Consider the following 19,999-nt stretch of genomic DNA (forward strand, 5'->3'; position numbering starts at 1 on the left):
TTGGTATAAACCCCCCAGACCTTTTATTCTGTACACTCACACTGTACACAACTCTCTCCCTCATGTCTATTGTGATTACTTTTATTTTTTAATATCAATGGGCATCCATATAGGTTGGGTGACCAACCATCCCACTTTGCCCAGGACCGGGGAATTCCCGGGACATGGGACTTGCAATTTAAAAACTGAAAGGTGAAGATATTATTATTATCATTATTATTTGAGATGGAGTGCTCACTGCAAGCTCCGCCTCCTGGGTTCACGCCATTCTCCTGCCTCAGCCTCCCAAGTAGCTGGGACTACAGGCACCCACTACCACGCCCGGCTAATTTTTTTTGTATTTTTAGTAGAGACAGGGTTTCACTGTGTTAGCCAGGATGGTCTCGATCTCCTGACCTCAAGTGATCCGCCCGCCTCGGCCTCCCAGAGTGCTGGGATTACAGGCATGAGCCACCGCGCCTGGCCAAAGATATCATTTTATAAATTGCATGTTTCTGCTAATAGTGACATGGAGTTCTTTACAAGATTTCTTTTTATGACTTCTCCAAGTTTTAAGTGGAAAGACCCAGCCAATCCTAATTCATGTGATTTAGAGATGAAAATATCTCTAATCTGTAACTTTCTTTCAGAAGCTCTTAAGAGTTTTATTTGCTCCTGCTCAGGTGTTGTGTAAACTCGCTCATACTTTCAACACCTTTAGGTCTGAGACAGAAATTTGAGTATTACATTACATGAGATACCCAGTCTTCATGGGGAAATAAACATTTTAATCTTTTGAAATGGAGGTTTCCTTGAAGTCTTATCCCAGTAGAAACTTTGACCTTGTTCTTTTTTTTTTTTTTTTTTTGAGACAGAGTCTCGTCCTGTCACCCAGGCTGGAGTGCGATGGCACAATCTCAGCTCACTGCAACCCCTGCCTCCCAGGTTCAAGCAATTCCTCAGTCTCAGTCTCCCGAGTAGCTGGGATTGCAGGCAAGCACTACCACGCCCAGCTAATTTTTGTATTTTTAGTAGAGATGGGGTTTTGCCATGTTGGCCAGGCTGGTCTCGAACTCCTGACCTCAAGTGATCTGCTCACCTTGGCCTCCCAAAGTGCTGGGATTACGGGCATGAGCCACTGCACCCGGCCTGGAATACCTTGTTCTCATGCTTCCTCTGAATTTGTGATTCAGTGACTTGTTACTTCAAAGTAGAGTTCACCTGTACCCAGGGAAACCAGGAAACAGAGTTAGAAATATTGCATTTGATCGGAAAAATGTATGCACATTTCACATCCTATCCTAATAGATCTCTCTGTTTGCAGTGATAATAGTAAATTTATGACCGTAGAGTAAGGTGATTTTCTAGGAAGATAGACCGTGTTCATTTATTCCAGGAATCCAGGGATCCTTGTATCAGAGAATCCAGGCTGGGCACAGCAGAGAAACCAAGGTATTGATTATTGGGTAGTTGGCATACCCCAGGTATGCCATAATAATTATGGGATCTCACATAATTTTGAGGACAATCCTAGGAAGGAGATTTTATTTATTCCATTCCACAGGCCAGGAAACCAAGGTTCAGAGAATTTCCATGATGGGCTCAGGCCAATCAGATAACAAATGGCAAAGCCTCCACCCAAGTCTGCTGTACTCCAGAAGTCCTGCTCTCTGGGCTCATACCTTAGCCACTCTGACCCTTGCTGGGGCCCCAGAAAACAACTACACATAGAAAAGGTCTCTTCAGGCCAGACACAGTGGCTCACGCCTGTAATCCCAGCACTTTGGGAGGCTGAGGAGCTAGATCACTTGAGGTCAGGAGTTTGAGACCAACCTGGCCAACATGGTGAAACCCTTTCTCTACTAAAAATACAAAAATTAGCTGGGTGTGGTGGCTAGTGCCTGTAAACCCAGCGACTTGGGAGGCTGAGGTAGGAGAATCACTTGAACACAGGAGGTGGAGCTTGCCGTGAACCGAGATGGTGCCACCGCACTCCAGCCTGGGCAACAGAGCAAGACTCTGTCTCAAAAAAAAAAAAAAAATGATTTTGAGACAGGGCTGGGTGGCTCACGCCTATAATCCCAGCACTTTGGGAGGCTGAGGCAGGCAGATCACTTGAGGTCAGGAGTTCAAGGCCAGCCTGACCAACATGGCAAAACCCTGTCTCTACTAAAAATACAAAAATTAGCCAGTTATGGTGGTGCGCCTGTAATCCCAGCTACCTGGGAGGCTGAGGCAGGAGAATCGCTTGAAACTGGGAACCAGACGTTGCAGCAAGCTGAGATCGCGCCACTGCACTCTAGCCTGGGCGACAGAGCGAGACTCCATCTCAGAAGAAAAAAAAAAAGGATTAAAGGATTTTCCACCACTCCTGTTGAACTAATTAAGCTCCATATTTTTAAATTAAATAATGAGTGAAGGTGATATCAGAGGACAACTTGAACACACTCTCCTTTCTATTTAGAAGCAAATCAGCTGCAGACTTCAATACTAGCTATTATAGAATAATCAGTTGTTGGACATGCCCCTCCCAACTGACCTAGAAGGCTTTCTCTGCTGTGTTATAAGGAAGGCTTCGGTCTTTTATTTCCATACTCCCCACAAAGTGAGGCTTTTGGAGCTCTTCTGATATGGAGAGCTGCCCATGCAAGGTGGAAACAGGCCTCCAGGGCCAATCAGTTTGGGAAACACCAGGCTGCCTGTGGTTTACAGCAGGACTTCTCAGAGCCTTTACTATGCTAAATGCAGTGGGACTCTCCAAGATGTGACATTGGGATTTGGCCCTAGAAATGTTATTTTTTGGCAAGGGTGGGGACCATCTTTCAGGATTGGTATTCATAGCCACCTCTTGCAAAACATGGAACCGTTTCATTCCATGCCTTCCTCATCTCCTTGCAGGATCCTGGGAGGCAGGACCATGGAGTGGATGAGGTTCACAGGCTCGAGCTCTTGAGCAGGGGGCAAGGGGTGTGTGTGTGCATGTGTGTATGCATGCATGTGTGTGTGTATGTGTGTGTGTGTAAATAGAGCACTGTCTCCCAGGGTTCTGGATGAATTTGAACAGGGAGAAAGTAGAATTGATTCAGTGAGATCTGCTAACAGGCTGTTGCACTAGCTCAGCCTTGGAGTGAGGCAATGGTGGGCGTAGGGGAAGGGATGAAGAAAACACACCCACACACGTGTGCCACACACGTGCACACCTGGAGCTGGAGGGCCCAGCCCGGGGCCCAGCTCTGCCACTCACTGATGTGACTCTGAACAACAGACTTTCTCTCTGTGCCTCATCTTATCATTTTTGTGAACATTTAAAGAGATAACACACACAAAGTGCACAGCATAAGACTCAGTGTGTAGGAGGTGCTCAACAAACATCAGCTTTCTTTTTTATTTTTTTGAGACATAGTCTTGCTCTGTTGCCCAGGCTGGGGTGCAGTGGCGTGATCTCAGCTAACTGCAACCTCCACCTCCCAGGTTCAAGCGATTCTCCTGCCTCAGCCTCCCAAGTAGCTGGGACCACAGGTGCATATCACCACACTCGGCTAATTTTTGTATTTTTAGTAGAAACAGGGTTTCACCATGTTGGCCAGGCTGGTCTCGAACTCCTGACCTCAAGTGATCTGCCCGCCTAGGCCTCCCAAAGTGCTGGGATTACAGGCATGAGAGACCACACCTGCCAGCTTTCATTCTTATTCAACATGCTTTTATGGGTTCCTTGAGGGACTACTATATGCCTCCTAGTGTATACTGGAGTTACAAAAGAACCCTATTTTCAGAGTTGCAAATAGACTGGGGAAGGGGTCGGGGGAGATGAAGTCAGAAATTGATGATAAATCTGTGCCCCTCTGGGTTTTAAGCCTTGCCTGCTCTCACAGATCTTACCTTCTAGTGGGGGACACTGGTAGATGTGTAATAATGACCCACATAACTACAACCTATGATGAGTGCCAGGAGGAAGAGATCAGGGAACTGTGGGGCATAGAGCAAGAGCATGGTGTTCCATGGCATCTCTCTGGTGGCCCCTGATACAGCAGTATGAGGGAGCAGCCAGCAGGGGTTCAACAGCCGTGCAGATGCCTGTGCCCAGGGCCTCACCTGGACACTCCCAGCCCCAAGGACTCAGTGGAGCAGGAGGATTCCCCAGGTAGGCAGCAGGGGTGGGGGTGGCACAGACACACCTGAGCTGGGTGCAGGCCTCCAGCAAGTGTTCACTGACCCTGACGCTTCTGTGTGCTAGGCACTGTGCTGGAGAGCCCAGAGCAAGACAGAGCCACTCCTTGCCCTTAGGAAGCTTCTATTCCAGTGGAGAAGAGGCATAAACTCATTGGTGAATGCAGAGAGTCAGGTCAGCACGTGATGAATGGCACGTGTCCTACAGAATAAGACCACTGAGTATCAGGGTGGGTTTGAGGTGGGGACACTGAAGCCAACCATCAGAAAAAGAGCAAGAGATAACCATGCAAAGGACAGAAGTGGGGGCAGGGAAGGGAAGAACATTCCAGAACATTCCAGGCAGCATGTGCAGAGGAACGTAGAGGGGTCAGTGTGGCAGAGGCCGGTTTGCCAGGGCCATGTAGACCATGGAAAGGGGTGCAGTGAGCAATCATTGAAAAGGTGAAATTCAGTTTATCTGCTTACTACCCGGGTGAGTGACTTTGCGTCACTTCAACTTCTCGAACCCAGAACTTCCTCATCAATAAAACGAGGCTTCCCCTGCTACTGGTCTCACAAGGTGGAATGAGACAATGATTATAAAATGCTTCATATAGGCCAGGTATGGTGGTTCATGCCTGTAATCCCAGTGCTTTGGGAGGCCAAGGCGGGAGGATTGCTTGAGTCCCTGTCTGTATAAAATATAAAAAGTTTCGCTGGGCGTGGTGGCACATGCCTGTAATCCCAGTGCTTTGGGAGGCCGAGGAGGGGGATTGCTTGAGCCCAGGAATTCAAGGCTGCAATGAGCTATGATTGTGCCACTGCACTCCAGCCTAGGCGCCAGAGTCAGACATTGTCTCAAAAAAAAAAAAAAAAAAAAAAAAAGATGCTGAATACAGAGCCTAGCACAAATTAGTACTCATAAGTATTAGCTATTAATATTCAGGTTTCAGTCAGCTGGTGGGTACTTGCATTGTATTTTATGAACTTTTTAACTTTTTGGTATAGGAAAAAAAGTTGACCTGTTTTTTTTTAACACCTTCAGAAGCAGAGTAAATAGCACAGTGGTCCCCCAATGCATTCATCAGCCAGCTTCAATAACCATTGCCTTTCTGCCCTTCTAGTTTCATCTTCCTATACCCATTTTCCCTATATTATTCCCCCAACATTTTATTATAAAAAAATTTAAGCTGGGTGCAGTGGCTCATGCCTGTAATCCCAGCACTTTGGGGGCCAAAGTGGGCGGATCACGAGGTCAGGAGATCGAGACCATCCTGGCTAACATGGTGAAACCCCGTCTCTACTAAAAATACAAAAAATTAGCCGGGCGTGGTGGCAGGTGCCTGTAGTCCCAGCTACTCAGGAGGTTGAGGCAGGAGAATGGCATGAACCCAGGAGGCGGAGCTTGCAGTGAGCCGAGATCGCACCACTGCACTCCAGCCTGGGCGACAGAGCGAGACTCCATCTCAAAAAAAAAAAAAAAATTTTTAAACATACAAGTTGAAAGAATTTTACAGTGGGTGCCCATATACCCCTGATTAGATTCTGCCATTACCATTTTTCTGTATTTGTCACCTGTAAATTGCAGATATCAGTGTCTTTATCCTTGAATACTTCAACATGCATGTCATTAATTAGAGCTCCAGAGTTTTTTTTGTTTGTTTGTTTATTTGTTTGTTTTAAGAGACAGGGTCTTAGGCCGAGCGTGGTGGCTCACATCTGTAATTCCAGCACTTTGGGAGGCCGAGGCGGGCAGATCACTTGAGGCCAGGAGTTTAAGACCAGCCTGGCCAACATGGAAAAACGCCCATCTCTACAAAAAATACAAAAATTAGCCAGGCCTGGTGGCATGCACCTGTAATCCCAACTACTCAGGAGGCTGAGGCAGGAGAATCTTTTGAACCTGGGAGGCAGAGGTTGCATTGAGCCAAGATTGTGCCACTACACTCCAGCCTGGGTGACAGAGTGAGACCCTGTCTCAAAAAAAAGAAAAGAGACAGGGTCTCACTCTGTCGCCCAGGCTGGAGTGCAGTGGCACAATCTCGGCTCACTTGCAGCCTCTACTACCCTGGGCTCCCATCTCAGCCTCCAGAGTAGCTGGGACTACAGGGACACACCACCACGCCTGGCTAATTTTTTTTTTTTAATTTTTATTTTTTAGGTAACAGAGTTTGCCATGTTGCTCGGGCTGGTCTTGAACTCCTGGGCTCAAGCGATCCTCCTGCCTTGGCCTCCCAAAGTGCTGGGATTATAGATGTGAGCCACTGCATCTGGCCCCCAGACTATTTTCAAGCAATTCTCACAGCTAGATGTCACACTGTTTTGCCCGTAATACTTTAGCACACATTTCTAAAAGACACAAGTTTTTTTTTTAAACCATTGCCATAATTATATCTATCTAACAGAATGAATGATAATTCCTTAATCTAGTACCTAGTTCATGCTGACTGTCCTCCAGGTGGCTCAAAGATGTCTTTGAATGGTTTTATTCAAATCAGGACCCACAGGGTTTCTCTTAAGTCTCCTCATCTGTAATAATCAGCAACTCCCTTTATTAAATGCCAGTTACTTATTGAAACTGGGTCATTTGTCCCGTAGAATTTTCCATATTCTGGATTTGGCTGATTGCATCTTCCAAGTGTCATCTAACATGTTCTTCTATACCTATAAATAAGTACTAGGTCAAGAGGCTTGAATCAATTCAGGTGCAGATCCTTAGCAGGAATACTTTGAAGGTGTTTTTCTGTTTTCTCTTGCATCACGTCAAGAACATAAAGTTCAGTTACCCCACTTTTAGTGATTTTTGTTCATTAGTGAGTTTAGGGTATCAGTCTGACCTCCGTCGTAAAGTTCCCTATCACCCTCTTGCCGAATGACTTTACTGCCTGCTGATGAGCAAAGCCCAGATTATTGTTTCGTTACTATAGTGATTTTCTACTTCCGTCAATCTTTCTGTGCTTATTAGCTCTTGTTGTTTTTTGTTGTTGTTGTTGTTGTTTCTGGTTTTGTTTGTTTGTTTTGAGACAGGGTCTCTCTCTGTCATCCAGGCTAGAGTGCAGTGGCACAATCTTGGCTCACTGCAACCTCAACTTGTCAGGTTCAAGCGATCCTCCTGCCTCAGCCTCTTGAGTAGCTGGGACCACAGGCGCTCGCCACCATGCCTGGCTAATTTTATGTATTTTTGATAGAGATGAGGTTTCACTACATTGCCCAGGCTGGTCTCAAACCTGAGCTCAAACGATACTCCCGCCTTGGCCTTCCAAAGAGCTGGCATTACAGGCATGAGCCACTGTGCCCGGCCCAACTCTCATTGTTCTCTACCACACGACTTTCCTCAAGCATTTGCTTACCCTGAAATACAGTCCCTGAAAGGCAGAGTACATGGTTGATTATGTCCTTTTTTTGTGTGTGGGCGGGGCTAAGTCTATTTTCAGAGTAATGAGTAGCCCTAGCAGCCATGAAAAGTATCAACGAGTTGTTTTTGTTTTGAGGGGTGTTACGACCTTATGGTTTTTAAAGATATTTTGATGTGTTTCAATCCACTGCAGTCATCATCCGTTTGCAGCCTCTCTTTGGTAGCCCATGCCCCTGGAGGGTCCTTGTTTTCAGGCAAGAAGATATCTCAGCTCATCATGTACATTTCTGCCCCAGCCCTAGAATCAGACATTTCTCCAAGGAGTCCTGGTTCCTTTCAGTGGGAAATGTTCTTAGAGACATTATAATCTGGACACTAACGATGTCTGTGGAATTTTTACAAGATCGCCTTGGCTTCTCTGTGCATGATGAACTGGAGGGACAAGACCAGGCCAGAGAGACAGGTCAAGAGACTTTCGCAGTGGCCCAAGTGAGATATAACAGTGGCTTGAACTTGATCTTAGGTAAATCACTTAGCGCAATGCTTGGTACATGATGGAGAGCACCATAAATGGTAGCACACTCTTTCATCAATGACTTGATCTGTATTAGTTTACTTAAACTCCAAAACTGTATGAGGAAGACTTCCTTATCATTGTATACATGAGAAAACCCAAGCTCAGAGAGGTGAGGAAACTTGTTCAAGGTCACACAGGAAATGAACAGCAGAAATAGAACCTGAATCCAGATCTCGTGCTCTAACCAATGCACTGTGTCGCCCAGAGGGTTCTTGGTTTCACACTCAAAAATGACTTACATTTTGGTGCAAAACCTGATCCATCACGAGTTCATGGCGATTCTCCTGGTTGTGCCCTCAGGTTTGTGATTTTATTTGCTTCCCAGTGAGATCATAAACCCACGAGGGCAGGGCTGGGCCATTCCTGCCTGTTTGCTCCATGTCTCCAGCAGCGTGTACCACACCTGGCAGGTGCTCAGGAAATACCTGCTGATGAATGAGTGAATGGCTGAAGAAGGCAAATTCACAGCACAGCAGGGGGAGAAGCGAAGAAGGATAGGATTCCACCTGTGAAGATGGCAAGGACCAGAACTTAGGAGAGCTGAACAGTGGACTTCAGCAATTTCTGCAGGGATAATTCAAGTGAGAGGCTAGCCAGACAGATCAGACTGATAGGCCTTTAGACTGCGGAACATGTTTTCCATTGGAGGTGGAAAAACGGCTCCTCTTACCTTCCTTCAAGGCAGGGGCCGATCTGGAACCATTCAGGCCAGTTTTGCTTGGGATGGCAGATTCACCACATCAAGAATTTGATCTGAACCAGGCATGGTGGCTTATGCCTGTAATCCCAGAACTTTGGGAGGAAGAGGTGGGAAGATTGCTTGAGGACAGGAGTTCAAGACCAGCCTGGGCAACACAGAAAGACCCTATCTCTACAAAATATAAAAAAGATTAGCTAGATGTCGTGGTGTGCACCTGTAGTCCCAGCTATTTGGGAGGCTAAAACAGGAGGATTGCTTGATCCCAGGAGTTCGAGGCTGCTGTCAGTTACAATTGTGCCACTGGACTCCAGCCTGGGTGACAGAGAGAGACCTTGTCTCTACACACACAAAAAAAATAAAAAATAAAAAGAAAGAAAAAAGAAGTTTGGTTTGTCTCAACAGGCATTAATTGAGCACCTACAGTGTACCAGGCATTGTGGATGTGCATCTTTCTGGGTCTATACTCTCAGAGGGCCCTGGGAGACTCAATCATTTGAGTAATTTCCTGGCTGAGGGAGAAGCTGAAATGTACAGGCTTCTCTTAAATATGTTTTGCTCCCTGAAGTTGTTCCAAAATCAGAGGCCTTGAATGCTGTACACCCGTACTCTAGGATGGAATGGTTTGGGATTTGGCACAAAACCAGAGATGTAGTAATCTTTTGCTTACTCTAGCAGTACTGGCTGGGATTCCCTGAAGACCCAGATGCTCTGACATGTTGTAAGTTTGAAAACTGCTGACCCTCTTTTGGGTGTCTTTTTCAGGCTCTGATTCCACCAATCCAATAGGGTAGCCCATTAAACAATTGAATCAACGACCTGGTCACCTCCGCCTATGACAAATCTAGCTTTAGAGTCAGGTAGCCCAGGGTCGAATGCCATGTATACCTCCAAGCTGTGTGACTTCAAACAAGTCACTCCACCTCTCTGGACATTGGATTCTCATGTGTGAAATGGGATACTTGTAAACAAGATGCTTATAGTGGAAGGCATTATTGGTATTATTAATTATTAGGACAAAGCTCTTACTCAGGAGTTCAAGATCAGCCTGGGCAACAAAGTGAGATCCTGTCTCTACAGAAAAAAAAAAAACCCAAAAAACCAAAAATTAGCTGGGCATGGTGGCACACGCCTGTAGTCCCAGCTACTCTGGAGGCTGAGGTAGGAGGATGGCTTCAGCCTGGGAGGCAGAGGTTGCAGTGAGCCAAGATCATGCCACTGCACTCTGGCCTGGGTGATAGATCCAGAATTCGCCTAAAAAAAAAAAAAGAATAAAGTTCTTAGTATTTGCAGTCAGGGAGTGTCAGGGAGCACACTCACTCCCTAGATTCCTAGAGATGACAGTTGCAATTATTTTGCTGTCCCCGAACATTTGTTCCTCTGGTGTAAGGGAGCATGGTGTGTCACCAGTGCCGTCAAGCACAGTTGCAGGGGAAGGCGAAGTTCTTGGATCACACCATGGGGTGTGCCTTTTCAAGTCTTACAGTTCGCAGGGAGGGTAGACCTCCCTCCACTGCCAGCTAAAAGTTGTCACGTATCTTCTTCAGATGTAAAAATCTTAAAGGATCATCCTTCACAACATAGCTGATTTGCTAATCACAGCTCCTGCTTTAGGAACTTTGGCAGAGTCCCCAAGAGTAAATTCTGCTTGAGATGTCCTGCTCCCTTGGCAGCCTGGCGAGCTCCTATTCAACCTTCAAAGTCCCAGTGCAGATGCTCTTTACTTTTTGCTCTCCCTCACGTCTGTCTCCAACCCGGAAGGTATCCTCTCTGAACTGCCTTCTAGATGTGGCTTTTCCTGATTCTGAGATTCTAGCAATTAGATCTTATGGAGTTTTGCTCTGTCGCCCAGGCCGCAGTGCAGTGGTGTGATCTCGGCTCACTGCAACCTCCACCTCCCGGGTTCAAGTGATTCTCCTGCCTCAGCCTCCCTAGTAGCTGGGATTACTGCTGCCTGCCACCACACCTGGCTAATTTTTTTGGACTTTTTTTATTTTATTTTATTTTATTTTTTAGACGGAGTTTCACTCTTGTTTCCCAGGCTGGAGTGCAATGGCACGATCTTGGCTCATTGCAACTTCCGCCTCCTGGGTTCAAGTGATTCTCCCACCTCAGCCTCCCAAGTAGCTGGGATTACAGGCACCCACCACCACGCCCAGCTAATTTTTTGTGTTTTTAGTAGAGACGGGGTTTCACTATGTTGGCCAGGCTGGTCTCGAACTCCCGAACTCAAGTGATCTGCCCCCCTCAGCCTCCCAAAGTGCTGGGATTACGGGCGTGAGCCACTGCACCCAGTCAGTAATTAGATTTTAATTTTAAAAGTTTTTCTTTATTTGGGCAGAACATAGCTATCTCCCCAAAAGTCTTTCCAAGAAGAACCCAAAGTCTACAGAAGTACTTTTGTTGCTTTCTTTTTTTTTTTTTTAAAGCAATAATAGATGGACTTTTTTTTCCCAATTTAATTAATTAATTTGTTTTCTGAGACAGGGTCTCGCTATGTTACCCAGGCTGGTCCTGAACTGCTGGGCGCAAACAATCCTCCCACTTTGGCCTCCTGAAGTGCTGGAATTATAGGCATGAGCCACTGTGTCTGGTCAACTTAATAAATTATTAATTGACAAATAAACATTGCTTATTTATTTGTGGCCTGGACACAGGCCAGGCACAGTGGCTCAGGCCTGTAATCCCAACACTTTGGGAGGCCAAAGTGGGAGGATCACTTGAGGCCAGCCTGGGTGACAAAGCAAGACCCTGTCTCGAAAAAAATAAATAAATAAATAAAAAAGAATGGATACAGATTTAAAAACAAGCCCACAACTCTAAAAAACAAGGTAGTGACCGTGACCATCACTTAGGACCTTTTCTAGAGTTTGTGGACAGAAATTCTGCATGTAGAGCAGGAGAGTGTGAGAATTAGGAGCTCAGGCTCCAAAGTGAGGCCACGTGGGTCTTAAAGTGTGGGCTTAGAGAGTGACTGAGCCTCGGTTTTCTCGCCTGTGAAAGGAGCAGGACCCTGCATGTAAAGCTCTTAGCACAGTGGCTGTCATAGGCCACACACATGCCAGTGACACAGAAAAACACTTGTCGCGACTTATTAGGAATCACTTCCTCTTCCCTGCAACACTCCCTAACATTTCCTTTCTTCCCTTCTTCAACCCCTATGTGGGCATTAAAAAAATAATCCTCTGTTGAAATAACTGAAAAAATGGTCTCCCTGGGCCCCCAAACACACCCAGAGTCCTTAGGAGCATCCTCACTGGATCAGGGAACAGATAGGATGTTAATTCAGCCTGGTCCATGCTGCTGAAAGCCCAGAGACTTTCCCCTTTGGAAAAATGCCTGCCCCTGCAGGGCACCATCCCCTCTGCCCCCCAAAAGCAGTTCTAGGCTGCAGGCCTGGGAAGCTGTCCTTGATGGGGGGATCTGCCTGTCCTGCCTGGGCTGGCCGATCCTTAGAGAGTGGCTCTGACACCTGACCAGGACTGACAGGTGCTGTGAACCAAATGTGAATCCTTTCTGTCCATGAGTGGAGGAAGATGCTCACAGCAGAAGCCGCCATCACTATCACCTGCCTGGTTCTTTCTGTTTGGTGCAGCAGGAAGGGGAAGGCTCTATTTGGTGTTGAGTGACTACATGAATCTTGGTTGATTCTCACAATAAGGCAGGTGAGGTAGGCGAGGCTGGGTATTTTGCCCCCTTTTCTAGATGGGGACACTGAGGTTTGGAGAGGGGAGGTGATTTGTTCAAGATCACACTGTCCATTGGTGGCAGAGTCCTGGAGCGGTGGCTCACACTGCCCATGGTGCTCTGAGTGGAGATGGTGAATGCTGATGGCTCAGATGTGTACAGCCCAACTGCATCCAGCACTGCACTCAGTGCCCCAGGGGGGATGAACTCATTGAACTCTTAACAGCCCAGCAATGATGTAGGTACCATCCTTATCCCCATTTTGCAGATGAGGAGACTGATGATCAGGGAGGGCATTTAACTTGCCCAAGGCTTCCCCAGCTTGTAAGTGGCAGAACCGACATGTGAACCCAGGTCAGTTTCCAGGGGACCAAACAAGGTGCCCGGTGACAGTTGACTTTGGCCGCCAATCATGCCTCAATATAGCGGAAGAACTGGCCTGGAGCCGGGGATCTTGGTTGGTCCCAGTCTTTGGCTCTGTGGCTAATTGCACATGTGACCTCCTGGCCACCATTTGCTCATCTACAACACAAGCACACTGGACTCGATGATCCCTGTGCTTCCCCGCATTCAGCTGTAGGTTGCAGCAGGTGGCTTTTGAGAAACACTCTGATCTGTGACACCCCAGATCTACAGGCCGAGTGCAGGTGAAGGTGTCCACCAGTCAGCCTCTTACGCCCCAGCAGCCACACTTGGCCTGTCCCCATCAGTTTAATTATCTCTGAATTTGCAAAAGGACATTGCGCCACTTGCTGAAGGGCCCCTGACCACCCCCTCTTTGTCCCGATACTGTTGCTTCTCTTTCCTGCCTGGGCTGACCTGTGTGTCCAGCTGGCCATTCGTGCCCAGTATAGCCAAACACAAGTTGTGCTGAGTCTCACCCTCCCTTCTGGACAGGCGTCTGACAGATGAACCCCTTGGAACATCTGTCGATGCTGTTTTCCTGTCTACCCAGGGCTGTTGTGATTACAGGACTGTTTAAAGCCTGTACCAGAGATGGAGAGTTGGGCAAGAGGGCAATTGCATGAGCAGTGAAGTAGGGCTAAGTACAGAAATGTGGCAAGCTGGAGGGAGGTGGTCCTCAAGCCCACGAAGCCCCTGGGAGCACAGATAGCCTCTTAACTACCTAAGCTTGAGGTCAGGAGAAGGCTGAGTGAGGACCTTTGAAATGGCTTAAATTTATGGGTGACAGATAAAGGCATGCTGCACTGCCAACTTGGGGGAACGCTCACCCATGTCGGAGTGCTGGCCGGTCCAAGCCCCACCCCCATGGCCTGATGCACGCCACCAGCCTCCCGCTGAAAGGTGACACTCTGCCAGCTGGGTTCCCTTAGTCACCCTGTGGGCGCCTGTCAGCCTCACTCAAGAATGGAGCTGGTGGCTGCATCCCCAGTGACGGTAAGTGGCAACAAGTGCTGGGGAGTTAATCTTGGTGGGAGGAAAAATCCAAGCATGGATGGGGATTGCTGGATGCTGACATTCTGTCCCCTCTGTCCTTTAAAAACCTCACCAGGCATGGGGATGAGTGTGCTGTGGGTTGTGGAGGGACTGGAAAACAGACTCCTGACTCCCGTCCTTGCCCTGCCCTTGCCTGGTGACTGGCCAGCACTTACCAGGACTGAGCAGTTTCTCGTGTTCATTGTGGTGAAGGCCACGATCACTCTTTCAACAGGCAGCTGTTGCTTGGGTTAGGTTTGCAAGACATAAAAATAGCTTTGTCTGGCATCTGGTTTTCGGGTCCGCTGGGTTATTTCAGCGAAGGGCAGCAGCTTGTCATGATAGCGTCCACAGAGGTTCACTGGAAGGGCTCGTCTGGCCTTCCCTGCTCATGGAATCAAACTGCGTGATCGGTGCTCATTCTTGACCACGGCCCCCCCACGCCACCGTCTGGCACCGTTAGTTTGCATGTCGATCTGCGGCTGTGTCTTAAAGGTACACAGCCAGGTGTCTGTCTGTTTTTAGGATCATATCTACGCACTCCTTGTACCACCTGCTGCCTTATGGAATTTACTTATCTCCACTGCAGTGGTGGGACAGTGGAAAAGGTATGAGCAAGGGAAAGTTACTGATCCACAGTTTACCAAGCTGTAAAATGGAAGTCAAATAGTGACAATGACAATAATAACATCCATTGGGTTGTTCCTTTTTTTTTTTGAGATGGAGTCTCACTCTGTCACCCAGGCTGGAGTGCAGTGGTATGATCTCAGCTCACTGCAACCTCTGCCTCCTGGGTTTAGGTGATTCTCCTGCCTCAGCCTCCCAAGTAGCTGGGATTACAGGCGTGCACCACCACGCCCAGCTAATTTTTGTATTTTTTAGTAGAATGAGGTTTCACCTTGTTGGCCAGGCTGGTCTCAAACTTCTGACTTCAGGTGATCCACCTGCCTCAGCCTCCCAAAGTGCTGGGATTACAGGTGTGAGCCATCACGCCCGGTCCCATGGAGGTGTTTTAAGGATTGGAGGGAGGTGGTGGTGAGGGTCTTGGGAGCTTGAAGACACTCCACAAATTTGATGGCTTGTATGTGTGGTTGCTATATAGGTACAGATGTTATGCAGAGAGCAGCAGTGAGGTGAATGGGGTGAGAATTCGTATCCCCATTTTATAGATGAGGAAACTGAGGCTCAGAGAGTTTCTTCTGTAGCTTTCTCAAACAGTCCTCCGATTTGTCTCTGTGTATTCACTTGGGAAAAGTTCTTGTGTGGGGTGACCTTTGGGTCCCACGTCATTATTCCGCAAAGAAAAGGGAAAGGCTGTGAGGTTTTTCATGTAGGTAACCCTGGCAAGGAAGGTTTGGGGGATTAGATCCAACAGAATAACAGATTGTAAAGGATTTGCAGAGTGAGAGAAGGGCTGAACTGGGGAGAAGAGCTGGCCACTGCATTCGTCAGAGCCTCCGCTGTACAACTTGCAGCTTTACCTGCCATCCCTCTATCACCTGCCGTGCGTGTGTCTAACCATCTTGCCCATTGACTCATCCACTCACCTTCTCTCTCCACACACCACCTACTCATCCTTCTATCCGTAGTTAATCAGCCATCCATTTGTCCAGCCAGCCAGGATTTTCTAAGCAAGTTCCTGAAGAACTTATATCATGTAAAACTTGCATAATTTGATTGGCTTTCCAACAGGAATCAATGTAAACAATGTATTCTCACACCTCATAATTCACAACCATTGTAGCACACTTTTGTCTTTATGCTGCACTTCTCTTTCTCTCTCTCTCTCTCTCTCTCTCTCGTTGCCCAGGCTGGAGTGCAGTGGCGTGATCTTGGCTCACTGCAACCTCCCCCTCCTGAGCTCAAGCAATTCTCCTGCCTCAGCCTCCTGAGTACCTGGGACTACAGGCACACACCACTGCCCATGGCTAATTTTTATATTTTTTGTGGAGACGGGGTTTCGCCATGTTGCCCAGGCAGGTTGTAAACTCCTGAGCTCAAGAGATCTGCCCACCTTGGCCTCTGAAAGTGCTGGGGTTACAGGCATGAGCCACCGTGCCTGGCCTTGATGCTGCACTTTTCTAAGCAATAATTCAAGTATTTTTTAACTGGGGTAGAGGGATGCCCACCCTATCAATTTTATGCACCTGCTGTTTCTTATATCTCACAATTTCAAATGCACACATTTAAAATTTGCCTAAGATTGGTCGCATTTGTATGAGTTGTTCTCTTCAGCCCTTTCTTTCAAAACTGTCATGGAGATACTTGGCTCATTCTCTTGGTGTTCCTGAATGCAGTTTCAGAAATGAAAACTTTAAAAATCAAAATTCCAGCTTGGTTCAAGACATTGGTTGGTGCTCAATGTGTGTGCATATATATATATATATATATATATATATTTTTTTTTTTTTTTTTTTCATTTTTTCAGCACACAGGTTTTTTTTTTTTCATTTGTTTTGTTTTGTTTTTTTGAGACAGGATCTCACTTGGTTGCCCAGGCTGGAGTGCATTGGTGCCATCATGGCTCACTGTAGTCTTGATGTCCCAGGCTCAAGTGAGCCTCCCGCCTTGGCCTCCCAAAGTGTTGGGATTACAGACGTAGCCATTGCCCCCAGCTTACACACAGTTTTTGAGCTCTTACTCTGTGCCAAGCACCAAGCTGGGTACAAGGATCCAAAATGAATGACACTTGGTCTATGTCCCCAAGCACCACCCAGTCGGTCAGGGAGAACAGACAACCGAACAAGCCACTTCCATGCCATGTTTTCTGTGTCATCATGATGGAAGTCTGTACCCAGGCCTCCCAGGCCAGGATGGACTGGGCAAAGAGCCCCAAGGGAGTGGACTGCCGAATTTCTAAAGCATTTGGCCACTGTGGCCAGCAGAGGGCATGAGAGGGAGTGGCCATTCAGCAGGGGTCAGGTTTAGAGGGCCCCGTATGCCCTCCTTTCCTGGGGAGGATGTAGGATTTAATCTGTTGGGCCTCTGGGGAAGCCGGGATAGCTTTTGCAACATTTTTGGCAATGTTCTCTGGCTGTTGTTAATTTCAAAATTTTTCCTGAGGGCATGTGTGAGCCAGCTGTTTCAGGACTCGGACCTTTCTTGCAGACAATTTTAAAGATTTTCTTGAGAATTTACTATGCACAAGAGAAATAGTAATAGTATGAAATAGACTTTGTCCCCAGAGGTTCCTAGCTCACCATTCAGAGGCAAAAGGAGACGGGAAGGCAAGGACTAGGCAGAGGAGTTGAGACCAGAGATTCACAACCAAAGGGCAGTTTTGCCTCCCATGGGACATTTGTCAATGTCTGGAGATGTTTTGGTTGTCCCAGCTGATGGAGGTAGATGCTACTGGCATCAAACAGGCAGAGGTCAAGGGTGTTGCTCTACATACTATAATGCACAGGACAGCCCCCACCACAAAGAATTTTCCAACCCTAAATATCAGTAGTGCCATGGTTGAGAAATCCTGGGGTAAGAACAAGGCTTGGGCATCAGAAAGATACCCATAGTACTGCTATGTATTTGTTTGAGTCGTTGTTTTCAATTCTTTTGGGATATACCTAGGAGTGAGATTGCTGGATCATATGATAATTCTATGTTCAACTTTTTAAGGAACCACCAGACTTTTTTCCACAACGGCTACAACATTTTAAATTCCTACTGGCAATGGTTAAGAGTTCCAATTTCTGTACCTCTTCACCAACACTTGTTATTCTCTCTCTCTCTCTTTTGGGTTATAGCCATCCCAGTGCATGTGAAGTGGTATCTCACTGTGATTATATGATTTGCATTTTCCTGACACCTAAGCATGTTGAATATCTTTTCATCTATTTATTGACCATTTGTATATCTTCATTGGAGCAATGTCTATCCGAGTCTTTTGTCCACTTAAAAATTGGGTTGTCTTTTTGTTGTTGAGTTTTAGGAGTTCTTTATACATTCTGGGCACTAGACTCTTATTAGATATATGGTTTGCAAGTGGTCCTCCCATTCTGTAGGTTATCTTTTCACTTTCTTGATAGCATCCTATGATTCACGAAAGCTTTTAATCTTGATGAAGTCCAATTTACCTATTTTTTCTTATGGTAAATTGGACTTCATCAAGAAGCATCCAATGCTTGTGGTGTCATATCTAAGAATCAATTGACAAATCCAAGGTCATGATGAATTACTTCTATGTTTTCTTCTAAGAGGTTTGTGGTTTTAGCTTTTATATTTAGGTCTTTGATCCATTTTGAGTTAATGATTGTATGTGGTATGAAGTAGGGGTCCAACTTTTTATTCTTGTGCATGTGGAAATCCAGTTGTTCCAGCACCATGTGGTGTTAAAGAGGTAATACTTTTTTTTTTTTTTTTTTTGAGACGGAGTCTTGCTCTGTCGCCCAGGCTGGAGTGCAGTGGTGCGATCTCGGCTCACTGCAAGCTCTGCCTCCCGGGTTCACGCCATTCTCCTTCCTCAGTCTCCCAAGTAGCTGGGACTACAGGTGCCTGCCACCATGCCTGGCTAAATTTTTTTGTATTTTTAGTAGAGATGGGGTTTCACCATGTTAGCCAGGATAGTCTTGATCTCCTGACCTCGTGATCCACCTGCTTCAGCCTCCCAAAGTGCTGGGATTACAGGCATGAGCCACCATGCCTGGCCTGAAGAGATCATTCTTTCTCCATTGGATGGTCTTGATATCCATGTCAAAAATAGATTGACCATAGATGTATAGGTTTCTATTCCATTGATCTATATGTCTATCTTATGCCAAATACCATGCTGTTTTGTTTACCATAGCTTTGTAGTAAGTTTTTAAATTGGGAAATGTGAATCTTCAAACATATTTTTTAAGATTGTTTTGGCTGATTGGGGCCTCTTGAAATTCCATATAAATCTGTATATTCCTTTGGATAATATGGACATCTTAACAATAAGTCTTCCAATCCATGAGCAAGGTATGTCTTTCCATTTATTTAATTCTTCTTTAATTTCTTTTAGTAATGTTTTGTAGTTTTCAGTGTGCAGGTCTTTCACTTCTTTGGTTAAATTTATTCCTAGGTAGGAAACAAGTGTGATAGGCAATAATAGAAAAAGGAAACATTGAAATTAAACATATTTATTTCTAGGTGTTTTATTCTTTTGAATGCTATTATAAATGGAATTGTTTTCTTAATTTCTTTTTCAGATTATTTACCACTGGTGTATAGAAACACAACTATTTTTGTGTATTTATCTTGTATCCTGCAACTTTGCTTAATTATTTTTATTACCTCTACAATACCAAGGTTTTCTGTGTGTGTATTATCTGGCACTTTCTACATATAGGACCATGTAATCTGTGAATAGGGGTGGCTTTACTTCTTCCTTCCTAATCTCTATGTCTTTTATTTCATTTTATTGTCTAATTGGTTTGTCTAGAACTTCCAGTACAGTGTTGAATAGCACTGGTGAAAGTGGGCATCCTTGTCTTATTCCTGGTTAAAGCTATCAGCCTTTCCCCATTTAGTATGATGTTAGCTGTGGATTTTTCATAAATGTACTTTATTAAGTTGCAGTTCCCTTCTGTTCCTAATTTTCTGAATGTTGTTATCATGAAAGGGTGTTGGATTTTGTCAAATGCTTTTCCTGCATCAATTGGGATGATCATGTGGTTTTTTTCCCTTTGTTCCATTAATGTGGCATGTTACATTGACATTGAGCCACCCTTGACTGACTTTTCTTTAAAAAAAACACATGATGATCTTGAAAGGAAAAAACCCCTCTGACCCTGTGTACTACCTAGAAAATAGCCTTGGCAACATATCAGCAAATTCTGCTGCTGAAAGTGTGTAAGAAGTACTTGGATTGTTTAGTTCTGGGAAATATTGAGAACTTTTCCACTTCCTTTAAAAACATTGTGTTGAAATTTAAAAAGAAAAAGCTTTATGGCAGGGCACAGTGTCTCACGCCTGTAATCCTAGCACTTTGGGAGGCAGAGGTGGGCGGATCACTTGAGGTCAGGAGTTAGACACCAGCCTAGCCAACATGGTGAAACCCCATCTTTACAAAAAATACAAAAATTAGCCGGGCATGGTGGGGGGCACCTGTAATCCCAGCTACTAGGGAGGCTGAGGCTCAAGAATCTCTTGAACC

General features: G+C 46.0%; 1 protein-coding gene and 1 long non-coding RNA gene across 14 annotated transcripts in view; one reads left to right on the plus strand and one right to left on the minus strand.

Moving 5' to 3' along the window:
• The window catches only part of ACACB (acetyl-CoA carboxylase beta), a 157,038-nt gene that overhangs the window by 6,396 nt on the left and 130,643 nt on the right, over nt 1-19,999 (plus strand). For 2 of the 13 annotated variants that reach the window (NM_001412735.1, XM_047428765.1), the window contains exon 1: nt 13,777-13,842. The exons of the other annotated variants lie outside the window; for them this stretch is intronic. The gene's annotated coding sequence lies outside the window, so the exon portion shown is untranslated. Of the gene's footprint in view, nt 1-13,776; nt 13,843-19,999 lie in introns of those variants that run through there. 13 annotated transcript variants of the gene reach the window in all.
• On the minus strand, nt 1,070-14,258 carry LOC105369974 (uncharacterized). The gene is made up of 3 exons (XR_945332.3): nt 14,058-14,258; nt 6,562-10,011; nt 1,070-1,200 (listed from the first exon to the last, which is right to left on the minus strand). It is a non-coding gene; the product is annotated as an uncharacterized LOC105369974 (long non-coding RNA).

This window comes from Homo sapiens, chromosome 12, assembly GCF_000001405.40.
Source record: "Homo sapiens chromosome 12, GRCh38.p14 Primary Assembly".
In the NCBI taxonomy this organism is placed as follows: Eukaryota; Metazoa; Chordata; class Mammalia; order Primates; family Hominidae; genus Homo; species Homo sapiens.